The 23,724-nt window shown below is 41.1% G+C and overlaps 1 protein-coding gene across 2 annotated transcripts in view; it reads right to left on the bottom strand.

Moving 5' to 3' along the window:
• Positions 1-16,532: 16,532 nt before the first annotated feature.
• The window catches only part of SORCS3 (sortilin related VPS10 domain containing receptor 3), a 623,953-nt gene continuing 616,761 nt past the window's right edge, over positions 16,533-23,724 (bottom strand). For both annotated transcript variants that reach the window (NM_014978.3, XM_011539542.2), the window contains 2 exons: positions 19,284-19,444; positions 16,533-18,465 (listed from right to left, as the gene is read on the bottom strand). In NM_014978.3, the coding sequence (NP_055793.1) occupies positions 18,401-18,465; positions 19,284-19,444 (226 nt within the window). In that variant the 3' untranslated portion in view covers positions 16,533-18,400. The remainder of the gene's footprint in view (positions 18,466-19,283; positions 19,445-23,724) is intronic.

The following is a 23,724-nucleotide window of genomic DNA, read 5'->3' as shown; positions in this document are numbered from 1 at the left end:
GGCTGGGATGGGATGAATCCTTGATAAACTTGAACAAAGCATTTTCCAAGAGTGATGGGGAATGAAGTCAGATGCAGAAAGGTGAGAAGTAAATAGGATATGTTTTGGAGATTACAAGGATACAGGACCAGAGAGTGCATGTCTGTTGACTGGGAACCCCTTTCTTAAAAAAGTTGAATCTTCCTTTTCCAGGCCTCACCCCGTGGATTCTTATTTTTTTTTTTTCTTCATGCAGGATATGCCCTTCTGTTAGCATATTCCTTTTTCACATGGAGGATGAAGAAGGCAACAGCTTTAGCTCTGCTGAGCAACCATGCTCCCCTGAGACTGATGGCTCCCAAATCATTGAACCTGGAAGTTCATCTGCTTATCGTTTAGGATAGGTTTCTCTACAGATGGCTAATTTCATTTCCCACATGCTGAATTTCTTTCTAGCTTTCTGCTCAGAGGGGAATCTAAATTTCATGCTCAGGGAGTGCCCTGCTCTTACCCCATGAACATAAGCTCCGAGAGAGAATGTTTTCTCTGCTCATTTCTAATTCATAAAATATGCAGCAAGTTTGTGGAAGAGGAGGAAAAAGACATTACATTGCCTACTTGGCAGTAACCATCCCATCCCAACCAAGAGGGGTGGCCTCATCTGCATGCATATGGAGAGGGTGTGGTCAAACTCTGTACCATGATGTTCTACTACCCAGGTCTTAGCCAGCTGAGCTGAGGATGGACAACTATTCAACAGATGGTCATCTCAAAATCTGGAGAGGGACTTGCTGGCTTACAAAGACAAGCTGAAATAATCAGATTACCTCTCTCTTAAACTTCACTCTGGGACTTTTAGCTTGACTCCTTCCAGCATGGGCTGGAAGTGCAAATAAAAATAGAGAGCATATGGATAGGCAGGAAGAAAAAATCAGAGTAGAGAGATGACCACATGATTCCTGAGAGATACAGAGTGTTTAAGGCTACAGCTGAGCCTTACAAGAACTGGAACTTTGGAACTGGAAAGTTGCACAATGTCAAATATAAAGGACAATGTCAAATATAAAGATAATTTACTCAAGGTTTCAGTTTATTACAACAAAAGAGCCCTCCTTAACATTGACGTGGATTTTATCCCAGACATTACATTTGCATTTACTAAACACTTACTCTATGCCAGATGCATAGAGAATAAGGCCCTATCTTCCCTGTCCTCAGTTCTCTGAGTGGAAAATAGAAAAAAAAAATCTGTTTGCTAAGTAAGGTGTCCTTGAAAAAGGGAAAAAGGGAAAATTAGAAACAGCACCTAACGTCACAATTTGGTGGTAGAGTATTTCTGCAATAATTGAAGGGCAGCCTGATTTTCTATCAGCAAATCAAGGAAGCTCAGTCTCAAATAGCTGGCCACAGAGTATCTGCAGCTTATCTGTGTTTAGAATCATTGGTTCGCCACTTCAGACAGTATAGATCTAGATCTACTAGCCCATTTGACAGTCTGGTTGGTTTCTCTCTGCTACAAGGCCACAGTCTGAATGCTATTTCTTGGTTTTCTCAAGAGGAGTATCTTGAGGTGGCATGGCTAATTCTTAAAAAATACATATTTTGTTCCCTATTAAGAGGCCCAAAACCAATAAGCAAGAATAATGCACAGACTTGAGGCACCTAGATTAGGATTTGGTAAATGGGAGCTAAGTAGGATGCAAGAATTATCTCACATAATCCTTAAATAGTACCATAAAGTACCTACTATTATTATTTCCTTTTTTTTTTTGAGACAGGGTCTCACTCTGTGGCCCAGGCTGGAGTGCAGTGTTTCAATCATGGCTCATTGCAGCCTCAACCTCCTGGGCTCAAGCGACCCTCCTACTTCAGCCTCCCAAAGTGCTGGGATTATAGGTGTGAGCCACCGTGCCTGGCCCATTATTTACATTTTGTGATTAAAAAACAAACAAACAAACAAAAAACCTAAAGGTTACTGGGGTTAAGTCAACTTGCCAAGGTCACCAGCCAGAGGTAATGGATTAGGTCCAGTTGTATTTCCACGGTCTTCATTATGACACTATGCAGGAAACATCATGCTTACATATTCTTATCCAAACTAACTCATATCATTGGCAATAGCAAGATAATCAACAGTGTAAGTTACACTTTCACTCATCACCCTCAGAGTAGCTGTTCTCTTTGGGGAGAACAGTTGCATAGAACAACCTAGAAAATGTGGAATTTAATCAAATAAAGGATAATGCATGAGTAGATATTCAATGTCCTTATCTCATCACACATAAAAATAAAAATATGTATGTGTAAATATTAACTAATATTCAGGCCTATTACAGCAAAAAAAATGAAGAAAGAAGGAGGGAGGAAGAGAGGAAGGGAAGGAAGGAAGGAAAGAAGGAAGGAAGGAGAGAGAAAGAAAGAAAGAAGAAAGAAAAGAAAGAAAGAAGGGGAGAAAGAGAGAGAAAGTGAGAAAGAGAAAGGGAGAGAAAAAAAGAAGGAAGGAAGGATGGAAGGAAGGAAGGAGAGAAAGAGAAAAAGAAAGAAAGAAAAAGAAGGAGGGAGGGAGGAAGGAAAGAGAGGAAGAAAGGAAAGAAAAAAGAAAGAGAAAGAAAGAAAGGAAAGGAAGAAAGAAAGAAAGGGAAAGAGAAAGAAAGGAGGGAGGGAGGGAGGGAGGAAGAAAGGAAGGTCTACAATACTTACAGCAATTGTTGAAAATGGTGAGCTGGTCATAATTATATGTAACTGAACAAGGTAATATGTCAGTGTTTTCTTTGGTAAACAAAGATGTTGGAAACTTTTAATTATCCAGAAAGTCTCACAAGCTGTGGCTTATATCCCCTCCAGGCTGCCAAGGGCTGCACAAAAATAGTTTGTGCCGTGATGGAAACACAGAGTTAAATAATGAAGCAGCTCTCCCATCTCTGGGAGGGAAGCAGGACAGCTTTCGAAAGTATTCACTTTAGTGTTGACTGGAGGGAAGAAAGAGAAAAAAAAATAGGCCTTCCATTCACACACCAGATGTTCCCACTAAACAACCACTTTCAAGAAAGCTAAGCTTGCGCGGATGACGATCATTGTTGAGTTTGGGAGCTCAGCAGCCATGGAAGAAAATTCCTGGAGGGGTGAGAGCTGCCCATTGCTGTGGCATGCCATGGTGTTCTGGCCTTGGCAGGGGTATCCATGTCTCTGTATCTCATGAGCTGCAAGAACCCCTGCCTATCCCTAGGCTTGCAGAGTCCTCTGCTCTGGCTCGTTGCTGGAGATGCGCACTGTGAAACTCAGCTGTTCGTGTTTGTGGGTGGTTGCGGGAGCTGCCTTTCTTGTTTCTTCAGATTATTACAGTGAGGAGGGGGAAGCTGTCTATATCTCTTACATTGTCCTATATCTCTTCAGTCTGTAAAGACACTCTGAATCACAGGGATGAAGGAGGGATCCTTGTTTTGTGGTCTGACCACTGCAGGATGGTGCCTTATGTCAAGCTTCCTAGAAGCACAGCCTGACACAGTGATTTGGGGCATGTAGGGCACTTATTTTATTTATGTTATTTTATTTTGAGACGGAGTTTCATTCTTGTCACCCAGGCTGGGGTGCAATGGTGTGATCTCGGTTTACTGCAACCTCCACCTCCCAGGTTCAAGCGATGATTCTCCTGCCTCAGCCTCCCGAGTAGCTGGGATTACAGGCATCCACCATCACGCCAGCTAATTTTTGTATTTTTAGTAGAGACGGGGCTTTGCCATGTTGGCCAGGCTGGTCTCGAACTCCTGACACCAGGCGACCCACCCGCCTCAGCCTCCCAAAATGCTGGGATTACAGGCATGAGCCACCACGCCTGGCCAGGGCACTTATTAAGAGAGTGGTGTAAGGGAAAGAGAGAAGGATGGAGGGGAAAAAGAGCGGAACAAGGATGTAGTCCCAGGTTGAATTCAGTTTTGACTTGTTTGGCAAGGAACTCTGGAGCATGAATTATGCTGCAGACTTGCCCTGTCAAGGAGTTGGGGTTACTTGCAGGAGCGATGGGGACTATTCTGGGGCAGGAGCTGTGAAACATTAGCACCCAACACTCACAGATGCTGGTGTTGGGTGCGCCACTGTCATTAAAGGAATGTAACTATAAGTAAAGAGAGAAATCAGGGAATTGCCTTCATATTTAACTCATTGTGGCAGCTTAAGCTTGTATATTAAATTCATTACATAATAGTGTATCTCATTTGATACATATAATGACCTGATAAGGTGGGCAGGGCAGATGTCGATTCTTTTCAGTACTGACTGCTATTTTACAAAAAGAAAATGTGCCCAGGTTGACTGCATTACTGGCCTAAGTAAGCCAGATTATATGAGAAGAGTTGCAAGTAGAACTTAGGATATCCAACTTCAAGATCTGTGTCCTTTCTGCTATATTGCTCTGTATCTCACATGATAAAAGATGAGAAAGCTTAAATGGTGATAGCAAGCATACAGGTAGTATAGCAAACAAATACTGGAAGAAGTAAATAAAGGTGATAAGAATTGAGCTGAACTCAACAAAAGAAAGTCATGGTGGGGAACCACATCTATGCTGGGTGTATTCTATGGTGGTTGAGATTTAGCTGGATAGAAAGATGAGACATTTCCAGGCTCAGGTAGTCCAGAGACCAGAATGACCTAGGGTCCATCTAGGCAGAGCATGTGCCCCGTTCTGGAGACAGACTAGAGTAGGATAAGCAATGGTAAACTGTGTGTCATGCTGAGGATAGGCCTGTGTAGTGGGTTAAATGGTGACCCTACGCAAGATATGACCATACAGAACATGAATATGACAGAACATGAATATGGGGAGAGGGCTGTCAGCCACTTCAGCCTGTCTCTCCTCTCACTTGTCTCCCACATGGTTTTTTTCCCATCTACCCAACACACACCCTTCTCTAGCTTTTAAATTTGGCTATCATTTCGCATTTTGTTAACTCCCGCATAACTGGTCCTGAGCAGTGGAGAGTTGCATGAAATTGCTTTCCTCCATTAGATGAACATAAATAAAGCCATTTAAATTCAATATGCATTTCCTATGAAGCAACAGTAGGGTTTTAGAGAATGAAGATGGTTTAGGAGAGGCCAAGGTACTCAAAACTGCTCCACTCTTGTCTCAAACACACCTATCCATGAAGTTCCCAAGAGTCCCAAGAGGAAAGACAAAGGAAAACAAATTGCTGCATTCCTGTTCCTAAGACCTGGACCACTAACCCTAATGCAGAATGTTTTGAGAAACCTGAGTGAAGCATGTGACCCAGCCTGGATATTTATAAGGCCTCTTCACCAGCCTCTCCTCTCCTGTAAGCACCACTGAAAATCATGGGATCTAATGGCTCAGTCTATTTTATGAAAACACAGAAACCTGCAAGAGGGCATATGAAAGAAAACTCCCTTCTTTCTTGAGAGATGGCCACAGCATGGCAGCAGGGTGGATCCTATAACTAGCAAAGGGAGCCTCACCTGGGTCCTAGAAACTGGAAATCAGACCACTCTCTTTTCTCCTTCAGGTGGAAGTGGGGGCAGGGCCATCAGTGGGAAATTTATGAATAATCAGTCCGTAGGCTGGTGTGATTAAAGGGCTTATATAAGTGAAGGTACCTAACAATAGTAATTTACAAAACACAGACCACAAAAACAATCCCGTAACAGACAGCCCAGATTCACTCTAACCCACAGGACTGGACCCTGGCCTGGTAAGTTTCCTTGGGAAAGGAGGAGCCAAGGAAAATACATGGAGCATGGAGCCTAGCATTGCGTGTTAACAGCTAAGTATTGGGAGAGCCGCTGTGGAATCCACACAGATATGCTGCTTATCTCAACTGTTATCCTTTTGCCTGTATCTTTCTTTAACTTTTTTTCTGGGATAGGACTGTGTAGTGGGTTAAATGGTGACCCTACGCAAGATATGACCATACAGAACATGAATATGACAGTCTTCTTATTTGAGAAAGAAAAAGGATCTTTGCATATATAATTAAGGAACTTGAGATGAGATCATCTTGGATTAATGGGATGGACCCTAAATCCACTGACACATATGTTTATAAGAAGGAAGGGAAAATTCACTGAGAAGGTGAGGTGAAGATGGAGGTGGAGACTGGAGTGATGCATTTACAAGCTAAGGAATGCAGAGAAGCTCGAGCAGCCACCAGAATCCAGGAGAGAGAAATGAAACAGATTACCCCTCAGAGACTCTGGATGGAACCAACCCTGCCAACTCCCTGACTTTGGACTTCTGGCCTCTAGAATTATGAGAAAATAAATTTCTGCTGTTGTAAGTTACTCAGTTTGTGGTCATTTGCCACAGCACTGTAGGAAACTAATGCAGGCTTTTAGTTGCTGTTCACTCTCAGGTAGTAACAACACGGTGGGTGGATGAACCCCCAGGATGTCCCCAGCCCAGGTACCTCAGCTATCAGGAAACAAGGCCAGCTGTGTATCTAATCTGCACTGAAACTTGGGAGCTTCCACAGTCCATTGGGGCCCATGACCTCACACAGAAGCTCCTGCCCTGGGCTCATCAGGCAACATCGCTGCTCAAACACATCCCATTAAACCTGACTCAAGCACATCTCAACACCACTAGGAAATGTGCTCACATGACAACTGTTCTCTTTTTTGGCAAAGGTCTTTTATCAAACAATACAGAGAATATTTTCAATCATTCCTACATCACAATGAAGAGACAAACCCTGTTAGTGTGTGTTCACTGAGAAAAGAAAAGAAAAGAAAAGAAAAGAAAAGAAAAGAAAAGAAAAGAAAAGAAAAGAAAAAAAAACCCAAAGGTAAAATACCACAGTTGGTACATCCAGAGACGAGCTGGGGCTTTGATGCTCCATGCATTTTAGCAGGTAGCTGACAGGATGTAATTCAATCTTTTTAACTTCATGATATATATCTATGTCAGTGACTTTAAGATAAAGAAAAGACTTCAGTCAAAAATGAAACTTCAGATGATTAATGTGGAGAATGTTGAATAATATACAAACATTTCTTTCCCCTCAATCAGAGAGATTCTAGATTCTGCTAGTTTCAATTCCTGTCACTGCCATCCTTTTACGCAGAAAACAATTTGGGAGGGGGAAAGAAATGAAACGGTGGCACTTGGGGTAGAAAGAGGGAGGAATTTGAGGGTGTCAGGGAGACTTAAAAAAAGGGGAAGAGAAAGAAGCATGGAATAATTGAAAGATCCTAAAAGATGCAAGGAAATTGCCACATTGTTGATAATAACCATAATAACAAAGCTAATGATAGGCTTTTGGAGAGGGAGGACCTTGCATGGTGTCATATTTGTTATAAAGAAAAGGAGACGTTCAGTTGGCAGGGATGGCTGCATTTAGCAATTTGGCATTCATCCTCCAGCAGCACACCAACCACGTCATGGGCCAGCCACTTGTCTCCTACACTGTCCCGGCTCTAATTTTGCTTCTACAAAATTATTGGTATTGTGGCTCTTCTCTGAGACTTGACAAAAGAACAGGTGTAAATATTAGTGGGGGTGATGGGGTTGGTTTAGGGACTATCTTTTCAAAATTTGTTTCATTGTTTCCTATAGGAGGGCGAAGAGGCACCACTGCGTTGTTGGATGGGTTGGAGTAGAGACCTCTTGAGGGGCAAACAGGACGCCTTGGGGTCTGAACCTTGCTTTGCTTCGGCCCAAGCAAAGACTTGCCTAGAAAAGCATGGAAGGAGGGTGGGGGTGGAGGAAATGCTTACTGATGTGGAATCTGTTATACTTCAAATGCTTTATATTTTTATTTATATTTATTAATGTATTTTAGAGACAGGGTCTCTCTCTGTCATTCAGGCTGGAGTGCAGTGGTGTGGTCACAGCTGACTGAATCCTTGATCTTTTGGGCTCATGTGACCCTTCCTACCTCAGCCTCAGGAGTAGCTGGGACTACAGGTGCTCACCACCATGCCTGGCTAATTTTAAAATTTTTTTAGAGATAGGGTCTTGCTATGTTCCCCAGGCTGGTCTTGAGCTCCTGGCCTCAAGAGATCCTCCCACCTTGGCCTCCCAAAGTGCCGGGATTAAGGGCATGAACCACCATGCCTGGCCAGCTTTATATTTATTATTTTATTTTCTTCACAAGGACAAAAGAGAAAATTAAGGCTTGGGGAGGTCAGAGACTTACCCAAGACCATACAGCTAATAAATGCAGAAACTGGAATTGAACGCAGATCTCTAGCCCTTCAAAGGAGAAATTCTTATTATACATCATGCTCCTGTCGCCAAAGGGAGATGAAAAGCCCTTGATGAGTGTGAGGTGGGGAGTGATGACATTAATTCTGAGAGCTCAGAGTTGGAGACAATTCATCTGAAGGAAGAAAGGTTACACCACATGTCAATAAACACTCACAAAAAGCACATATTGGAAATGGAAAAAATTTAAGAGTAGATCATTTTCCAAAGTGGATGGGGCTAGTTTGAGCCTGCTCACCTTCCATTCTATGTCCTCCAAGTCCGAGGCTTCCAGAATTCCAAACCTGAATCCCTAGCCATCACCTTGTGCCAGAGCGTCAAGTAGGTACTAAAGTCGAAGGAAGAAATTTTATTGGAAAATTTCTCTTCTGTTTAAAATATTTTCTCAGCACCAGGGATGCTTTCCCCAAGCTAAGTTCTTCACCTCGCAGTTTATGCAGAATTTCTTGCCTTGTTTGATAACCACTTAAAACCTTAATTGGTGTTGTTTTGTTCCAACATTTGTTAACAATGGCAAATACTTATGGATGGTACATTGCCAGCAAAATTACTAAACCAAAAAAGTTTCTCTGCTTTTGTGAAAGGAGAAAGATAAAAGAGAAGCAGAGAGCAACATTAGAGCCATTTTCTTGGCCAAGAATCTTGAGTAATGATTTCCTGTATCTTTAATACTTATTGTGAAGGACCGAACAAATTACAGTTTCTTTTTCCACTTATAAAGACCAATAAACCATCCTCTAGCAGATATTACACTACTACAAGTTCTCTTGAAATTATTGTCTGTCTTTGACCTATGGATGTGCCTGTGTTAACTATGCTTAATAATCAGTATTGCAGAGCAATCTCATTATGTTTCTTAAAAAGTTTATTAAAAGGACTCTAAGGCAATACCCTAAAATCCACAAGACCTGGAGAACCATTATGAACATCTGATGTGACTTTTCTTTTTTAACAAATAACTATGAAATGAATATGTGCTTATTTTTAAAAACTTGAAATGACATAGAAAATAAATACCTTGTCATTGCAGACTAGCAGCTTTCTAGCTCATTTCTGACTGTTCCCCCATCCCCATTAAACCTCCAGTTCTGTCCCTTCTCCAACTTTCAGCATTCCATTATTTTTCCTGAGAGAAGAGGAAAGGACTATTCTAGATGGAATAAAAAAGTGTGAGAAAATTACAACATTTAAAAATAGCTAGTGTAGATGAAATTTCCTTTGAGAATTCTTCCTTAACTTTCACCACAACTTTTCCTCTGGGGAATAAAAGAATTATTCCTTTCCTCTCTTTGTTACCTTTCCCTAAATTATTAAAGCACTTTGTCTCCCAAAAGAGTGTGTGATAGAAGATTGAAAACAACTTACAGGAATGTTCCTTAAATAGTAAGAAGTTCCACCAGACCAGGAATGAAGTTTTGTATTCATATCTGAAATTCCAACATTTAACATAGTACCAGCCACTTGGTTTCTTAGTTTATGCTCAACAAATACTCAAAGAACAGTGATTTTAAAAAGCACTTGAGGAGTTATTGTAGTGGACATTCATTCTCTGTCCAGCATCCATTCTGCCTTCATAACCATTCACTTATTTCCTTAGAAGGGAATAGGAGAGAGAACTTTTCCTATAGCATATGTTGTATAAGAGGAACAGTAACTCCAAATGCTTCTACTACTACTTCAAAAGCCAGAACAATAGTTAGGGATTTCTTCCCTAATCTTTTTCTTCACTGTTTAGTGTGCTAGGGCTGTCATAACAGTGCTATAGACCAGCGATCCCCCACCCCCGGGGCAGCGGACCCATACCAGTCCCTAGCCTATTAGGAACCTAGATCCCTAGCATGCACAGTTCACAATAGGATTCACACTCCTATGAGACTCTAATGCAGCCAAATGATCATTACCACCTGAGCTCCACCTCCTGTCAGGTCAGCAGTGGCATTAGAGTCTCATAAGAGTATGAACCCTAATGTGAACTGCGCATGCAAGGGATTTAGGTTGCACACTTATTATGAGAATTTAACTAATGCCTCATGATCTGGGGTGGAACACTTTCAATACCGAGACCATCTCCCCCACCCCTGCCCCCTGTCTGTGGAAAAACTGTCTTCCAAAAAAACCACCCCTGGTGCCAGAAAGGTTGGGGACTGCTGGCTTAAATAACAGAAATTTATTTCATCACAATTCTGGAAGTTAGAAGTTTTAAATTCACTCCTTGGCTTATAAGATGGCCATCTTCTCCCTGTATCTTTTTATGACCTTCCTCTGTACCTGTCTGTGTCCTAGTTTCTTCTTCTTATAAAGACACCAGTCATTGGATTAGGTCCCGTCCATGTGACCTCATTTTAGCGTAATCACTTTATTAAAGACCTATTCTCCAAATACTATCCCATTCTGAGGCCCTGGGAGTTAAGGGTTCTGACACACGAATTTTGGAGGAACACAATGCAGCCTGTAACATTCATTGCACACGCAGTGAGCATGGGAGCTAAACTTTATGGATTGTGGGAACCTACCTGGAATTTTTAATCTTCAGTAACATAAAGGTAGAAGAGACGACTGCAGTTCATTCATCCCAGAGGAAAGGTCTGATAAGATGCTGTCTGCTAGAAAAATATTCCTAATCTTCCTGATTCTCATCCCTCCAAAGCTATCTTGGCTTCTGGCTCTTTCCAAGATAAGTGTTTCAAACCTGATTCTGTGAGTTCCCGATAGCCTTGTAATAAATTCCTTTTGTTTGAACTAGCCAGGATCAGTGTCTATTTTCTGCAACTAAGAACGCTATTTGATACAGTATTTTAAAGACTTTTTCAAAAACCATCTCGATTTGTGCTCACTGACCTCTGAGTATGTTGGGGTTCACCACCCCCATGAGAGGTCCTCAGAAGACACCAAAGCTGATGGGAGATCTCCATAAATATAGTTTTGGGGCTTAGAGAGTTGAATTTTCACTCATAGGTCAGCATTTGAAAGGGAAAAAATGCCAATTCAAGGGTAAATGGAACATGGACACAATCTCTGACTTTGGATAAATGGTTCCTCTGGATTTTAAGTCAGACTGACCACATTTCCTGGTTTGCTTGAGACAGCCCTGTTTCATGCTACTTTTCCCACAGTAATTATTGATAGTGTCTCATCCATCCCCAAATGTATTCCAATGTGGCCACCCTATTTTAAGTGTGTCACGGCCACTGATGTATCCCTAGTATCCAGAACAGAGCCTGGTAGAAAGTAGGTGTTCAATAAATATTCTATTAAGGAAAGAATGGATAAATCAATGAAAGGGGCCTTGCCCCATTATCAGCTACAGATGCACATTTAAATATTTATTTTTCTTCTACTTGTGCCTCCCACTGGTCTATATCATCAAGCCAAGAGGTTTTGGAAGGACAGCATCTCCTTATGGAGAGCTCCTAGACACAAAGGAGACATGTGTTTGGAGACTTGCCATATTCCTGTTAGCACCCATGGACATGGTGGCTGCCTCTTTAAAGAGGATGGATTTCAAGACAAGGTGTGAAGCCCACCTGTTATTAAAAAGCCTGCCAAGATCTGAGCTCCACTGGGTTCAGTGTTCCTTCTCCCCATACCTGCCCTCCCCACGCATATTGCCTGGATGAGGCTCCAACTTGATCAGTAGGCAACCAACATGCCACTAATTAGGAGGCACAAGGCATAGCGGAGGATGATTAGCTCATGATGAGCACACGCTGCCTAGAGTTGCCTTGTTACTATTATAAATAGATTAGAAATCTGGGGAGCATCTGCATTTCCCCTCACAGAGGAGACTCTGAAATTGACAAGTTGAAATGCAAATGTGTCAAGCAGAGCTTCATAATTGACAAAGATTAACTTTATTTCTCTAGACCCATCTCTCCCTTCTTCTTCCTTTGATACCTCCTCCCTTGACAAGTCCTGGTTGCCAATGAAAGAAACCCAGCAATTCTCCAATTGAACCATAAGATTTTGGAAGGACAGTGCAAGAAAACCATTCTGGCACTCCAAGGACCAGATGTGTTGTTTATGGAGACAATTATGTGCTTCCCAGGTGAGTCTACCCCGAAACCAAGAAAGACAGAATAGTGACAAGAAAAACAATCCTGTTTGCTCTCTGTTTGCTACCACAGCATCTCCTTTCTCTCCCCATGCACTGTGGTTGGACAGACTGCTAATTGCAGCCAGTTCCTGGGATACTGACAGCAATAACCCTTTGTAAATGGGAGTAAGCAATGAAAAACCTTGCACAGTAGGAAGAATCTTCTGGGAGAGGCCCCAGGGAGGAGAAATGGGGCCTTTTTGGTGGTAAGAGTATCCCTGGAGCCCAGAAGCCATCTGCATGTAGGACACTGGGCACAGACATTTCTGCTGAAGAAGTCTCTATTCTTTGGGGAACAGACCACACATTTCCTCAGGAGCAAATCACTGAGGGCTCCACATTATCTGGTTCATTTTTAATAGCTGCAAACAGCATTGTTCCCCAGCGACTAAGCTGTAATGACAGATGGCATGTGTGCCTGTCATGATCTATTTTCCTGTCTTCCCTGGCATTTTGTAAGGAATCTGGATCTTGCATGTACTCTGGAACAGCTCTTCTTGAACCACAGCTCAAGGAAGGCACTGGGAAACTGTGCCCTTAGCATCTCTGGCTATCTAAGAGGTATATTTTTACAAGTAATTGTTTATCGGATATTTTTTTCAATGTGTGTGGACAAAGGAACCCAAGTCAGTGACCCCAGGACCTGGGACTGCACACGTCCTCACGAAACAAAAGCACTATATGGTAAGGGACAGTGAGGGAGATGCAAATGATGTTATTAATACCTGAGCTGAAGAACATAAACAAGCAAGGCCAAAGTGTTTTTGTCCCATTAGCATGGCTACATCCGGGGCACCCACACATGGTTAGAGTGAACATGTTTTAGAAACTGAGAGCTTCCAGTCATTGACTTTATGAGGCATTCTTGGCAACTCTGACTAGAAGAGTCCACCTCTTGCCCCTTCCATATGGTCCAAGCAACATTAGATCAGTCATATTATTTAAAAGGCAATAAAAGAAGCAATGACTTTGGGGATCAATGTGTAAGTAGTAAATTTTAAACAAAATTATCTTCCTCCTGAAGGAGAACTGATGGAGAAGGCATGTCTCTTTAGGTAAATCTGAATTTTTTCCTCTGCAGGTACAGCCCTAAGTGAGACTGCTTGGATAATTTTTACAACTCGAGGCCAGAGACAGTGCTATGTGGGCAAAGATCCAGTGCAATAAAACTAGCACTTCTCATAATCAATTTATTATTTGTGTCTTTACCCAAATTATCTCATTTAATCTAGATTCCAACCTTGGAAAGTAGATGTCATTATTTGTAATTTATAGGTAAGGAAATTGACATAAAATTGATTATGTCATTTTACCCCTCTGAGTCTCAGATAATTGAAAAGTGATGGATCCAAGTTTTAGTCTCCAGTAAATTGAACTCTTAACTGAGGGTCTCCCCCATTTTTTGTATACAATGTTCCATTGGTTCATCTCTGAATGAACCTATGTCTCATCATGATACATGGTCAGAAATGCAAAGAGCCTGTTGAAGGACACTCTGCTACTGTAAAGAACATGGTGATTAAAGTTTAAGGAACATCAAGATGCACAGTGCTTTGGGAATTAATGGTTGGGTTATGTCTGGTCCCCTTTGGCAGTACTGTTGGAGCAGACGAGAGAATTTTGGCAGGATGTGGTATAATCCAGATGAGGCATCCTTATTGCTTATGTTGTTCTCTGGCCTTCCTCCCTCTGAATAAGGCTCATCACTTTAAAAGATGAGCAGCCCAGCAGGTGGAACTGGGGTGAGCAGCTGTCTGCTGAGCAGTTTCATTTCAGTCCAGTGGGAAAAGCAAGGGCGTCAGGCCATGGGCTGCTAAACAGGTGGGTCCAGAGGGCAGCGGCATGAGGAAGGCTGTGAGCCACTGAAGGATGAGTGTACTTGGGATGTGAGATTCTAAACTGTTCTGGACATTATAAAATATGGGAGCCATATGACTGGCATTACCGTCAGGCTCTCCGCTGTTGCCCAGTGATATGCAGTTCAATCTGTTTTGCATTTTGACAGAGATGTGTGGTAGTAAGGATCCCACCTTATTATAATAAACATTGGACTCCATCTTCATCTCTGCATTACCTTGCTTTGTGACTTTTGGAGTCACTTTCCTCTCTGTCTATTGCTCTGCAGATGGGAGTTCTCCTAATACTGCCATACTTCTGGAATTGGCAATGTGCTTTTCACACCTCTGGAAATCAAAACAAGCCAGCAAGGCGGGCCATGAAGTGTTTTCCTTTTACGAATGAGGTACTTGGGTCCAGAATTACTTGCTGAAAGTTAGAGATCTACTAATTTCCAGCACAGTATTCTTTCCAAGGCACAATCCGTCACCACCTTAACTCACAGTGTATTTTTGTCCCAGATAGCTCATTGAGCGACTCTCAAAGTTGCAGCTGTTGCCCAGGAAGAAATGAGCAAATTTGGAAGCTGTTCTCACTTCTGTAGATTAAGGTAACTTGCATTATGATAACAGGAGTCAAAGGACGTGACTTTTACCCAATACTTATTCCTGAACTATTTTAGTGGCAGATAAGGCAGTTATTCTCAAATTTTCATGTACATGAGAATCCTGGAAGAATACAGCCCTGGAGTGCTTCCATGGGCCTAGTTATTAGCTTTACAATTCCCTTAAAGGCAATTCTGATGCAAAGAGTGTCCTCACCACTGGTGAGAAGCCCTGCATGGAAATAGCTGCAAAGCCAACCACACTCTCTGCTATCTGCCTCTGCCTCAGTCTACTACTGAGAAATCTAACAAACTCATGCTGATGGTGAATATAGTGGCTATATTCTTAGCCATGGCTTACCCAAATGACCCAACTGACTCAGATTTTCTTACTGCTTTATTTCTCTTTCATCTCTCTTAATCCAGGGAAGAAACTTCACCAACCTGGGCATAAAATTAACAAGAAAAACTCAGATCCCATTAGGAAGCAAAAACTAATGCATTTAGAAAATTCGTCTTTGGCTTAGGATAGAAATAATAGACATTTTACATTATTTGAAAGCTCCAAACTGTCAAAATCCCTAAAAGAAGTATAGGCACTTAGACCAAGAAAACCCCCTGCTTCTTTTTGAGATACTTAAGTGATATTCTCAATATGTGAGGCAGGTACTTATATAAATTTTTCAAAAGGTGAGTATAACTCAAGAAAAGTTATAGTAAGAATTATACATGATTTTAAAATAAATTCCCAAATCAAAAGAAAACCACCTTTGCTTAGTTCTTTATCTTCAATTTAAGTGCAGAAAATATGATTCCAGAAGATTGAGCCACTTTCCAAAATATGCAACTAAATTATCAACAAATGATTTCTGGTTTCTTAGATCCATGGAACTTTATCACGTATTTGAAACACTAAAGAAATAAGAAGAAACATCCAACTTACAGCCCTTATTCTGGGTGCCCAGTTTACATTTCCTTATTTACCTGGTGAAGAAGAGCCACTAATAAGCAAAGAACCAAAAAACGACATTTGCTGTCGGTTTCATGCATCGAACAGCTGGAAGAAGGAAAAAAAACGGACACATGTTGTTTTTCTCCTTTTCATTGCTCTTGCTTAATAAGTCTTCATACCTGACTTGGCATTCCATCATCTCTACCACTCATTGGGAACTCATATCAAACTCAAAGACCTTGCAATTACCAAGACCTTTGCTCAGAGGTCCCAGCCATATATATGTGAATGAAAAACTTTGACATGGGTTCAAATAGGTCATTTAGTGAAAGCGCTCCATGGGGCAGTGGAAAATGAATAGGCAGAGTAAATCAGATTATTGTTTCCAATTATAGTACCTAGTACCAGAGTAGAAAGAATCTATTTCTCTAGCCATGGAGGTTGGACTTGGCTGTGTGATTTTCTTTAGTCAACGGAATGTGGATGAAGATAAATAAAGTGACCATTTTGAGCCCAGGCCTTAGAGACATAGGGTTGTTCTACTGGCCTCACCTGGAATTCTACAATCCACCATGAAAAAACATGCCCTGGGTAGCTGCAGTTCCAGGATGATGATAATTCATGGAGCAGACTCAAACTACCTGAAACCTCCTTCCAGATCAGACCAGCAGAGCCTGGTCAGTCCTGATATGTTCAGCCAAACCAGAGCCAACCTAAAGATTCATGAGCAAAAACCAAGCATCTGTTGTTATAAGCCATTCATTGTTTTCCATGTAGCATCACTGTAGCAATAGTTTACAGACACAGTGGATAAAGAAAACTCCCCAAAGAGAAAACTCAGCCACGTATGTAGCTTTGATGTACAAAAATACATTTATTTTCAACAATTTCAAAACCACTGTCTTTTTTTTACAGTAGAAATATTCAAGTGGAACAATAAAACCAAGAACAGTATATGTACATATACTGTATATATAGATATGAGTCATGCATTTGTATTCCAGTGTTTAGTACAAGTATTGCAATTGTCTGCCCCATTTAACCCTTGAAACAAAAAAGCAGGATCTTTAGAAATATTCCTAATACTGATCTACACTGTAGCCAGCCAGATTTCTCTATATCACATTCTCTCTGTCTCACAAAGAAGAATGGGAACAACATCCCACAAAAATTAACAGGTACAAAATGTGGCCTTTCCTCCCATATATATACATTATATCATTTTCAAAAATAAGTGTGCTCAGGCTAAGCCTGAAAATAAAAACAATGCTTACAGCATGGCTTAACGTGACCCTATTGAAAAAAATTGGTATGTGTAAATGTGTGAAGGGGCTGAGGTGCTGGAAAAGCTAAAAGGCTTTGAAAGCCACTCACCCCAGAGGCAAGAACTACCTTAAGGGAACTGAAGGCAGACATTTGACTTTAAGGAAGTTGTGTACATCTGACAAGCAAATAGCACAGCTTTGCTAAAATTGCCTTTGACTAATATCATTAAAGGCTAGACCCCTACTTGGCCTGGAGAGTTTTGCATGAACTCATAATTCCACAAATGCCTCTTCCCTTCCAACCTCTTTAACTCCTCCCATGCCAAGAGACATTCACTGGGCTTTACCTAGTGCCCAGGGGACTTTTCTGAGCTCAGAATAGCCTGAGAATTCACCATAAGCATTATGCATTTTCATAGAATCCAATTTAAAAACAGATTGTCATTTTAAGATCCACTGACTGCCTTCTTTAGAAAAAAATATTTTCTCAGACTGATAAATATCAAGTTTTTCCTTTTAGAGAGGAAGCTGTTTTCCCCCATCTGGGTCTCAGTATGAAGCCTCTAGTGGGCCTCTTCTTCACCTTTCATATCATTCTTGGAACAAAAACGACTGCCATGTTCTATGATGTCACTAGAGTCCTTCCTTTATCAATTGCCCCAGAGAAGCCCCTCCCCCCACCCCCCTTTATATACATAAGTAGAAACCAGCTATGGCATGGACAAGGAGATGCAAGAGTTAAGTGTGACAGACAACAGGAGAGCATCCAAACCCAATGCATTGAGCAGGCCTGGCGGGTTGGTCAGCTCTGAGGGCCAGTGCGTAAGCCAACACACGCATCTTTCTTTTTTCTGTTTTCTTTTTTACTAAACATTAAATTATTTCTTAGGAAATAAAAAGCTATTTACATTGTAATTATATACAATAAGCCATCTGTAGCCTCACTATGGACATGCACAAGGCAGGGCCTCTTTCACAAAGTTGTGCATGCTTTCTGCAGCTACATCCACCCCCACCAACCTACTTCCTGCGGATCTAACTGGGAAATGATCTGTGTTGTATGTGTGTGTGCTGGGGGAAGCGGAGAGTGTTGGTGATTCTGCTGTGGGGATGAGAGGTTCACAAAGAGCCAACCCAACTTCAATTTTGAAAAAAGGGAGACCACAAGGAAAAAGAAAGTCTTTAAGCTACCAATGGCAGAGTAAAGCGAGGAGGCTGTGGGAAGATGCATCCTTTGCTCTTAGCACAAATACAGCCATTTATTCCCTTTGTCTCATTTCAATCAGCTAAGAATGCCCTTTTCTCCCAAAGCTAGGCATTTGCCTGCTATTTATGAAGGGGCCCTTGGTAAACAAAAGGTAAAAAAGACATTTTAATTTTTCCATAATAATAGTAATAGTAATCATCAAAAATAAAAAGTCAGAAAGGTGGTTGACCACGTGGCTTGCTGGTATTAAACACTAGTGCAGTTGGGGATCTCCTTTGTGCTTTCGCTGTTTGCAATAGTGGCAATGCCTCCTGCAGAGAAGAGAAGACACAGGGAGAAATGGATGTGAGTTCCACAAGGGCAGGGATCTTAGTTTTATTCACTGCTAAATACCAAGCCACCCAGAACAGGTGCTTAATAGGAATTTATTTAAAAGGCACCCGGATATCGTTACCTATCAGCTCACTGACTTATGTCATCCATGTTTAACATGCTACCTCCCACACTAGCCCACAGGTGGGATCAAGACATTGACTGCTATCTTATATTCTATTGATAACAACAGTAACAGCCAATGTGTATTGAAACTTACTATGTGGCAGGCACTGGGCTAATGACATAACAGCAGGTCATTATCACAACAGTCTTAGAATTGTTTTTTTTAGGTACTACACAGAAATAGAAATGAATCATAAGTACTACTACTCCCATTTCACCGATCAGGAATTTGAGGCACAGAGAGGTCACAGATGTAGTAGATTAGCAGAGCAAGAAAAATGGATCCAGGGCTATCTGATGCCAGATTCCACATTCATGTAATCATTAGTAAGGACATATAATACTTTTGCTTTATAGAAAAAGAAGTAAAAGCCCGTCAGTAATGGATAGTTGGCTTCATCCCTAACCCACTCAGACTCCAGTATTTCCAATCCTGATTAACTTCTAAGGGGAAAAATATCTGCCAATTTCCTGTGGCCAGAGGTGGCAGACAAATTTAAAACATGATTCTGTCACTGTAGGTAGTTGTTTGTCCCCACCCTCCAGTCCAGTAATGTATGGGGGACAGATGAAGCAGGCCAGTGTTTAGAGGACACAGAACAGGGGAGCTTAGTGGAGCAGGAGCATGTACCTATGACCCGCGTGTCCAGCTCTTTGTCCAGCAGCTCCTCAGGCTCCGTAAAGTCACTGAGTGTGATTTTGGGGGCGTTTTCACTTTGGCTCACTGACCCAATCATCTCCTGCTCCTTGTCGTGTTGGACTTGAGCATAGATGTTAATCCAAGGGATTTTCCTACATGGGACAGGAGCAAAATCAGGTTAAGATCACAGGGTGTGCCAAACTTGGGCAGCTGGAAATCCTGGGGGATAAGGGGAGGAAGAAGCTATTAATAGGAAGGGTCCATGTCAGGGAAAGATATTGGTAACCCCAGAGACAATGAGGCTACAAGGTCAAGGAACACAAAGCCAGCTAGGAACCCAGATGCCCAGGGAAGATGTAAACCATAGAACTCCCTGAGGAATGCACCTTTTCCTGTGGGTAAAAAACAAGAAGGTATAAACAAAAAGGCAGTTAGATAATAAAACCCTATAAATATTTACCTGGTATTAAGTTTTTAAAGGAGCTAGACTTTGAAACTCTAAGTGTGTACAGAGTGAAAAGACACCTATTTCTAAGGTTGCATCAATTTAATCAATCCACATTGGCTTTTTTAAAATAAATAGTCAAGAAATAATAGATTCATAGCTTTTGCTACAATTTTCAGAGCATCACTTATGGGATAAGTACCTTAAATACTTGGATAGTTTCCTCATCTGTTCAATGGGGATGACAATAGTTTCTTTTTGGATTTTGGAGATGATTAAGGATTAAGAGAAGCTAAATAGCTCTATTCAAAGACAGAAACATAGTAGGTGGGATTTGGAAACGCAAGGCAGACTAGCTTGGGGTTGGAGAAGTGAGCGGCTTCACACTGAAATCTTCTTGAGGCATTCATCTTCTGACCCATCTTCATTATCTCCTCACACACTGTGTGTTCCAGCCTCGGGAGACTCCTTTGCATTCCTTTAATCCAGGGCTTCTCAAACATTAACAGGCTTAAGCATCACCCAGAGTCTTCCTTAAAATGTGAATTGTGGCTCTGTAAGTCTGGACTGGATGGGTTGAGATTCTGCAATTCTGCCAAGCTCCCAGGTGATGCTGATGCTGTTCATCAGTTGGAGACCCAAATTTTGAGTTACAAGACTCTAATAGAAGCAGCTCTTCAACATCTTGGGGACTTAGAACCAACTGTTCCCTCTGCCTGTAACACACTGCCCTCTGCTCTTCTCAGAGCTTGGCTTACATGTCGTCTCTGAGAGGCTTCCCCTGACTATCCAACTTTCCATTATAAACATGAAACGATGCAACACTGCCTATGTAAGAAATAAATATGGTGTTGGTTTAGGGTGATGTAATAGGCAATGTTTATTGACTTGTTTTCTGTCTTTCTGTCCCACTATACTAACAGCCCCATGTAGGCAAGGTCTATGTTTTCTATCCTCTCTGCTATCCACACGACTTAGCACAGTGTTTGGCAAATGGTTAACATTTATTAAGCATTTTTTGAATCAATGAATAAATTACCTTAAATCCTGTGCTCTTTCTACTTTACTATACTATATTTGTCAATAAAAAGATTATATTTTTATTTTAGAATATCACTTCTAGAAGAGACCCCTCTTACCTCATCAAAGGATGGGAAAATTAGACTAATGTCTAGACATTTCACAAAGCCAATTACTAGCATAGATATCACTGAAACTTGGGACATCGGACACCCATCCTAATCCAGGACATCCCATGCAACTCTAAAGGAAAATCACTTTGTTGTCCTTGTGCCAAGCAGTGGTATTCTCAAGCTTCTACATTCCCCTATCTGCTCCAACTCCAAATGATGCGAAATGTGGAAGCACTTAATACGGGTTTCCTGCAGCTAATTCAGAAGAAAAAATCTGAAAATAGGTTTAAAACACTTAGTTGCTTCTAATTATTTTTTACATTCAGTTTTCATGTCTTTAATGTTTGCTTTCCATACACTAAAGGAGGTGTCCCCATGACCCCTACTGGTCTAAGCCAGTTTAATATAATTTACAAGAACCCAAAGTGAACAGCATCCATGTGAGGCAGCACACTAGGCTCTCTAAATGTGGTATAATTAAAAATTAATGCTGGCCTTTATATTCCTTTTTATATAAATGAAAATACAGTCTAATAACTGAGATTCCTCCCAATCATAAAAGTACATATTGCTCATGAAGGTTGGGATCAACCGTAATATTTATTAGGTCTGGGGGTGGTTAAACCATTCCTGATCACATAAGCCTGTGTACTTCACAGTTGTAACCAGAGTCAACTGCCTCCCCTTTCCTGCTTTTCTCACAATACCTATGAGGATTTGGATAAACTTGCCCTTATAGAGATTATTCGCTTTATTTCAATTTCCAAATAACACATCTAAAAACTGGCATATTTTTCATCTTTTTGCAATCGATGGTTGGAAGAGAATAAATTTTGTATCTCAATTTGCATAATTTTAAAAATTTGTCAAGTTGCTTTTCATTTCTTAACACATCCGCTTGTAGGACTGTTGAGAATATAAGTCTGAACTCCACTTCTGCATACAAGGAATGTGGGAAATGAAGAGATCAAGAGATATGTCTTGGACCAACATTCATACAGGTTTAAATAAGAGGAGTAATATGGATAGGCTCAAGTCTCCCTCTAAAAACAAAAAACAAAACCCAACTGCAGTTTGTATCTATTTATCCATCTATTATGAGTGTTAGAAGCCTGTAGGAGGAAATTTAGAGAAAGCAAAGTGGGCTTTGGACTATAAGGAAAGCCCTCCTAAAAAAACAGTGGAAGGAATATAGAAGCTCAAATGTTTTCCTGGATAGAGAAAAAGCAGATCTTCAGTTATGGAAAGAAATTCTTGTTAGGCAGTCTTCAGAAAGAAAAGCCATCTCATGATGATTTTTAATTACATTACTTGAGATATAAGAAAATAGCAGTCACTATCCAAGAGCAAGAGAGCCTGCGAGAGGCCAGGTGATACTCATTTAAAGGAAGCTTGAGGCTCATAGTAATTCTATTCTCTTTTTCTATGTCAAGTGACCACTTGGGATACTGAGATCATTTCCAGTGCCTGGAACACAGGAAGTACTCAATAAATGTTTGTAGGATGAATGAATGTCTTAATGTGTTAATACTGGCAATTACAGAGAGGAAGCTTTGGATCTGGAAACTCAGTATGGCCAATGATCTGGACACAGAAACAGAAATGTCTTTACACTAAACTGTGCTGCTCAACAGAGCGTTTAATGGCCAGGTGTTGCTGTTTACACTTAATTAGTTAAAGTTAAGTATAATTAAAATTCAGTTCCTCAGTCAGACTACTGGCTACTGTATTAAACAGTACTGATGATAGAGCATTTTAAACATTGCCAAAGTTCTATTGGATAGTAATGAAAGAAGCAAAGGAGACTTTGGGAATCCAGGGCTAGGAACCTGACCTACGTACTTGTTGTGAGCCAGGTACACTCCATGTTGCCATTACTGGGGTTCCATGTGATGAGTGGGGAAAAGAGACCAAAAAAATAAAAGAAAATCCCACAGAATTTCAACCAAAGGGCTTAAGCATTGGGAGTAAAACTTCCAGGAAAAGGAGCCAGAAAAGTAAAGGTTAACTGATGACTAGTTACTGTTAACTGATGCTGCTATTGTCCAGTTTGATTGGAGTTTATTTCCTGTGGCCTCAGCTGCATGACTCACTGTCAGGGACACAGAAAAGGTGGGCTGATACCTGGGAACTACAAAGGTAGAATTTTTTAGAGATGTCATTACCTGGTATGGATTCATTATTAAAGTGTATACATCTAAAGATGCCTACATTAGTAAGTTGACCGTCTAAGGAGTTTAACAGCATTTATAAAAAGAAAACAAAACAAAAAAAGAAGTTTTCCAAGTCACAGTATAAGTGATCCTTAAGTATCCTTACTTTGGATCCACCTGACACAAAAGCCACAAAAGACTCTTTACAGGACTTCTATTGGCCCTTGTCCTCAGCAACTATGCTGCTCTGGGAGTCAGAGATGAGACATTTGGTTTAGTTGATTGTCACGCCCAGCAACCACCAGGCTTCCTCACAATCAAATTCTTGGCTGAGTGAAAAGTGAAATGTTCTTTGCATATAATTGAAGTACATCTATAAATAAATGGGTGTTGCCTTAACCAGGCTGTTTCTATATTGAACCTTTTCTCACTTTGTGACATAAAGGTTTTATCCACCCTTCAAAGGGAACAGGGGTATGTGGGTTAACACATCTTGATCCAAGAGGACATGAACTCACATACTGGTCTACAAGTTGAGTAGGAAGGTGAATCTCACTCTGTCCTTCTAGAGAGCGTGGAGGGTGTTGATAGAATTCCTGCTGCTGCGGCTAATGCTGAGAGGTATACTGAATTAAACTGGTGTTTTTAAGAAAATGAAATAGCCACTAAAGGAGAGATAAGCAGGAAGAAGGGGGGCAGGA

Source organism: Homo sapiens, chromosome 10 (assembly GCF_000001405.40).
Source record: "Homo sapiens chromosome 10, GRCh38.p14 Primary Assembly".
Lineage (NCBI taxonomy): Eukaryota > Metazoa > Chordata > Mammalia > Primates > Hominidae > Homo > Homo sapiens.
The sequence above is the reverse complement of the archived record's forward strand: the minus strand, read 5'-3'. Positions and strand labels throughout refer to the sequence as shown.